Source organism: Homo sapiens, chromosome 2 (genome assembly GCF_000001405.40).
Source record: "Homo sapiens chromosome 2, GRCh38.p14 Primary Assembly".
NCBI classification, from domain to species: domain Eukaryota; kingdom Metazoa; phylum Chordata; class Mammalia; order Primates; family Hominidae; genus Homo; species Homo sapiens.
The window spans coordinates 38,787,896-38,793,895 of NC_000002.12; the positions used below are offsets into that span (position 1 = coordinate 38,787,896).

The following is a 6,000-nucleotide window of genomic DNA, read 5'->3' on the forward strand; positions in this document are numbered from 1 at the left end:
TGGCTCACGCGTGTAATCCCAGCTACTCGGGAGGCTGAGGCATGAGAATCACATGAACCTGGGAGGCGGAGGTTGCAATGAGCTGAGATTGTGCCACTGCACTCCAGCCTGGGCAACAGAGCAAGACACTGTGTAGAAAGAAAGAGAGAGAGGGAAGGAGGGAGCGAAATAAATTATAAGCATAAACATGGAGGGCATTTTTGCAACCCCAATATGGGTTTCAAACTAGCCAAGTGGCAAACATTAGTTATAAACTGGACAATTGGATTTTTTTTTTTTTTTTTAGATGGAGTTTCACTCTTGTTGCCCAGGCTGGAGTGCAATGGCGTGATTTCAGCTCACCGCAACCTCCGCCTCCCAGGTTCAAGCGATTCTCCTGTCCCAGCCTCCCGAATAGCTGGGATTACAGGTATGCACCACCACGCCCAGCTAATTTTGTATTTTTAGTAGAGATGGGGTTTCTCCATGTTGGTCAGGCTGGTCTCAAACTCCTCACCTCAGGTGATCAGCCTGCCTCGGCCTCCAAAAGTGCTGGGATTATAGGCGTGAAGCCACCGTGCCCGGTGGCTTTCTTGTTAACTAATCAGATTTCATGCTTCAGTTAATTCAGTCTTAGTCATGCTTATTGTAAAAAAGGATGGTATAAATATTTATGAGCTAGAAGTAATAGCAAGAGCTGGAGTTTGAATGGGAAGGTGCACAGGTGAATTTCAGAGACAGAAGGGCAGCATTAACAGAAACGTTTCTAATTACTAATTGTTTTGCTCTTGGTCTATAATCAGTGGATGAGTTTCTTTACCACATGGGATAGTCCCTTGGTGCCCATCCTATAGCATGGCTCCTGATTTGTAAAGACATCTGTCTTCTAAGGAGCATAGCATGTCTTTGCTGTTCTGTCTGGTAATCCTACTAATAATCAAGTCCTCAAACAAACGGATTTTTCCAGTTCACGCTATAGGAGAAGGGTTACTGAGCCTAGGAACTAAAGTTTTTAATCAGGCTTCACTTTAAACATCCTACAGTCAGCCAGGTGCGGTGGCTCATGCCTGTAATCCCAGCACTTTGGGAGACCAAGGCGGGTGGATCACCTGAGATCAGGAATTCGAGACCAGCGTGATCAGCATGGTGAAACCCCGTCTCTACTAAAAATTAGCCAGGTGGTAATTAGCGTGGTGGTGAGTGCCTGTAATCCCAGCTACTCGGGAGGCTGAGGCAGGAAAATTGCTTGAACCCAGGAGGCGGAAGTGAGCTGAGATCATGCCATTGCACTCCATCCTCGGCGACACGGTGACACTCCTTTTCAAAGAAAACAAAAAACAACAAAAAACAAAAAAAATTCTACATTCATAACCCTCTAGAGTCATATACTTTAAAACAAAACAGGCTGGGCGCAGTGGATCAAGCCTGTAATCCCAGCACCTTGGGAGGCTGAGGCGGGTGGATCACGAGTTCAGGAGATGGAGACCATCCTGGCTAACATGGTGAAACCCCGTCTCTACTAAAAATACAAAAAAATTAGGTGGGCGTGGTGGTGGGCGCCTGTAGTCCCAGCTACTTGGGAGGCTGAGGCGGGAGAATGGCGTGAACCCGGGAGGCGGAGCTTGCAGTGAGCAGAGATCACGCCACTGCACTCCAGCCTGGGCGACAGAGCAAGACTCTGCCTCAAAAAAAAAAAACAAAACAAAATAACAAAACAGGCCGGGCGCGGTGGCTCACGCCTGTAATCCCAGCACTTTGGGAGGCCGAGGCGGGCGGATCACGAGGTCAGTAAATCGAGCCCATCCTGGCCAACATGGTGAAACGCCGTCTCTACTAAAAATACAAAAAAAAAATAGCTAGGTGTGGTGGCGGGCGCCTGTAGTCCCAAATACTCGGGAGGCTGTGGTAGGAGAATGGTGTGAACCCGGGAGACGTAGCTTGTCGTGAGCCGAGATTGTGCCACCGCACTGCAGCCTGGGCGACAGAGCGAGACTCCGACTCAAAAAAAAAAAAAAAAAGCATATTGGCCAAAGTCGACTAGGTTGGACTTTGTTCAAAGATAAAGTAACAGGGTGTGTGTGTGTGTGTGTGCATGGGTGTGTTTTAAACATTTTAATGTGGGCCTAAGTGTGACAACTTGAATTTTGTAGTGCAGAGGTTTAGCAGTAGTAGCATTCACATACAAGTCATGTCTTCACATTTTCAAAATAAGTGATTCTGGCCAGGCGCGGTGGCTCATGCCTGTAATCCCAGCACTTTGGGAGGCCGAGGCAGGCAGATAACCTGAGGTCAGGAGTTTGAGACCAGCCTGGCCAACATGGTGAAACCCCATCTCTACTAAAAATATAAAAATTAGCCGGGCATGCTGGCAGGTGCCTGTAGTCCCAGCTACTCGGGAGGCTGAGGCAGAAGAATTGCTTAAACCCAGGAGGCAGAGGTTGGAGTGAGCTGAGATTGCTCCATTGCACTCCAGCCTGGGTGACAAGAGTGAGACTCCATCTCAAAAACAAAAACAAAAGAAAAGTGGTTTTTTTGGTAAAAAGCCAAAACAAAATTTAATGGTAGAACATGTTTTTAAAGTAAATGTATCCCTATTCATCTGTGCCAGGCTTTTCTCATTTGTACATATAATTTCTTCAAATTCTTAAGTACTTAGAATTCTTGATAAGAACAAAATGTACACACAAGCTCTTATTCACACAGTACATATTTATTAGAGTTGATTTGGCAGAGATTTTCACTATATTTTTATTTTATTTTTTTTTGAGACAGTCTTGCTCTGTTGCCCAGGCTGGAGTACAGTGGCATGATCTCTGCTCACTGCAACGTCTGCCTCCTGGGTTCAGGCGATTCTCCTGCCTCAGCCTCCTGAGTAGCTGGGATTACAGGCGTGTGCCACCATATCTGGCTAATTTTTTTTGTATTTTTAGTAGAGACAGAGTTTCACCATGTTGGCCAGGCTGGTCTCGAACTCCTGACCTCAGGTGATGCACCGGCCTCGGCCTCCTAAACTGCTGGGATTACAGGCATGAGCCACTGCGCCCAGCCGAGATTTTCACTTTCTGTAGTTCAAAATATATTTTCATTTTCAGAGATGTCTATGGGCATAATTTACACCTAATAGCTATTAGGCTTTGTTAGTGATTACTTATCTCATTTTGTTTAAAGCAGGGTTTTCTTCACCTTGGCTGTATTGGCATTTTGGACCGAGTGATTTTTTCTTTGGGTATCCTGTGCCTTGTGGGATATTCAGCAGTATCCCTGGCCTCTAAGCACTAGATGCCAGTAGCACCTCCCACCCCACAAGCTGTGAAAACCAACAATGTCTTTGGACATCGCCAAATGTTTCCTGCCCCCTCAAAACTGCCCCCATTTGAGAACCATTTGTTTAAAACAAATAAAAACTACATTGAGCTGGGTACAGAGACTCAAGCCTATAATCCCAGTACTTTGGGAGGCAGAGGTGGGTGGATTGCTTGAGCCCATGAGTTGGAGACCAGCCTAGGCAACAGCAAAACCCCGTCTCTACTAAAAGTACAAAAAAAAAAAAAAAATTAGCCCAGCATCGTGGCGCATGCCTGTAATCCCACCTACTCAGGAGGCTGAGGTGGGAGGATCACTTGAGCCCGAGAGGCAGAGATTGCACTACTGCACTCCAGCCTGGCCTACAGAGCAAGACCCTGTCTCAAAAAACAGAAAAATAAAAGAACCCCTACATTGTCTCCCGGGTGAGGAAACTTCTTTAAACTCTTTGTACAGGATAGGGCCCCGTATTTGTTAATCTCTATGGACAAATAAAGTCTTATTTGAAAGGTTAACAGGCATTGTTGTTAAAATACATTTCAAACTCAAGGATGGACAAGCCTGGGCAACATGGTGAAACCCCAACTCTACAAAAAGTACAAAAAATTAGTTGGGCATGGTGGCACATGTCTGTAGTCCCAGCTGCTCCAGAGGCTGAGGCAGGAGGATCCCCTGGGCCCAGGGAGGTTGAGGCTGCAGTGAGTGGTGATCGTACCACTGCACTCCAGTGGCATTGGTGTGAGACCTTGTCTCAAAAAAAAAAAAAAAAAAAGAGGAACCAAAGGATGGAATGAAGCAACACTTCCTCAAAGTGGAATCTCAGGACATAAATGGACCTTCTTGGCTGCTATTCTGTCTTTTATTATTATTTTCTTTTTGTCCACCTGAACATTCATGTCTTTTATGAGGAATAAAATGTTCATGTTTTTTCTAAGGAAGAAAACCAGACATGGATAATCTCTATAGTATAAATTCATTCAACATAGAAGAAAAATAACTCCTTCAGGCCATTTTCAGTAAAACCTAGGATGGAGAAGGTAGCAGTAACTGCATTTTCTGAATAAAGGAATAATTAATGACACCTCACTGAAATGCTCTTGCTGAGAATGTTTATTAAATAATAATAATATATTATTATGATGATGATTATTATTTGAGACAGAGTCTTGCTCTGTTGTCCAGGCTGGAGTGCAGTGGCACAATCTCGGCTCACTGCAACCCCTGCCTCCGGGTTCAAGTGATTCTCCTGCCTCAGCCTCCTGAGTAACTGGGACAACAGGTGCATACCACCACGCCCGGCTAATTTTTAAAATATTTTTAGTAGAGACAGGGTTTCACCATATTGGCTACACTGTGCCTAGCCTCCTGACCTCGTGATCCACCCGCCTCAGCCTCCCAAAATGTTGGGATAGCAAGCGTGAGCCACCGCACCTGACACAATTATGTATTATTATACCTGACTTCTCAATATTGTGTTTGTAGCATATCAGGGATCATTTTAAACACTGATTTTCATTGCTAGTAGTTATGAGATTGGGCTGAATTTCTAAGACCACCCCTTAGAAGTTGGTTTTCCAAACAAATGCCTCATAATGGTTTTTGTTGCCATTTCTCTCCTAAAAAATTCAAAGAGGTGAAAAAATCTAGGTGACTAGATTCTAAGCCATCCCTTATCATAGCTGTCTCAACTGGAGCCCTGTGTCCTGGCTTATTTAGTCAATTAGCCAGGCATGAACTGACTCAGGAGCAGCTCTGGGGCTAGCCTAGATGGGGCAAAGAGGCTGAACTATCTGGGGGAACAGGTTGTTGATGTTTTGGTTGCTGCCCTGTATCTTTTCTGTTTGTTTGGTTGTTTGGGACAGGATCTTGCTCTGTCACCCAGGCTAGAGTGCTGTGGCACAATCACGGCTCACTGCAGCCTCAACCTCCTAGGCTCCGGGTGATCCCCCTGCCTCAGCCTCCCCAAGTAGCTGGGACTACAGGCACACACCACCATGCCTGGCTAATTTTTTTTGTATTTTTTGTAGAGACAGGGCCTCCCTATGTCATCCAGGCTGGTCTCGAACTTCTGGGCTCAAGCAATCCTCCCTCTTCAGCCTCCCCAAATGCTGGGATTACAGGCTTGAGCCACCATGCCTGGCTGTCCTGCATTTTTATGAAACAACACCATGGCCAACATGTTGAAACCCTGTCTCTACTAAAGATACAAAAATTAGCCAGGCATGGTGGCGCACGCCTGTAATCCCAGCTACTCAGGAGGCTGAGGCAGGAGAATCACTTGAACCTGGGAGGTGGGGGTTGCAGTGAGCCAAGATGGTGTCATTGCACTCCAGCCTGGGCGACAGGGCGAGATTCCATCTCAAATAAAATATTTGTTTTAATTCTATTGGAATGTAGCAAGGGAACAATATTAATAAAATACTTGCTGTGAAATGAATCTGCTCTTCTATTTTGTACTATGACTAATTGGGAAGATCTTAGGAAATGAGACGAGCTAAGCATTCTGATCGAAGGGGTCAAAGGCCGACAAAGCATGAGCTTTGTCTTCTTCCTCCTTGAGTTCCATATCAGATTATTAACAACTCAAACTCCCTGGCAAGTAATGAACTTTGATCTTTATCCTCCTATTTAATATTATCTGAGCAGCTTAATTTAGATAAAACTAAGCCTAGCATGTGGATCTGTAGGCATATGGTAATGTTAGTTCCTTTTCCTTTC

The 6,000-nt window shown here is 45.2% G+C and overlaps 2 annotated features.

The window, feature by feature from the left end:
• Nucleotides 1,184-1,684: an enhancer, noted in NCBI's record as "H3K27ac hESC enhancer chr2:39016221-39016721 (GRCh37/hg19 assembly coordinates)". NCBI's record gives its function as "activates a minimal SCP1, AML or CMV promoter by ChIP-STARR-seq in naive H9 embryonic stem cells {active_cell/tissue: H9 hESC(naive)}" and the evidence as "EXISTENCE:reporter gene assay evidence [ECO:0000049][PMID:30033119]".
• Nucleotides 3,979-4,179: a silencer, noted in NCBI's record as "peak3667 fragment used in MPRA reporter construct". NCBI's record gives its function as "represses an SCP1 promoter by STARR-seq MPRAs in K562 erythroleukemia cells {active_cell/tissue: K562}" and the evidence as "EXISTENCE:reporter gene assay evidence [ECO:0000049][PMID:32103011]".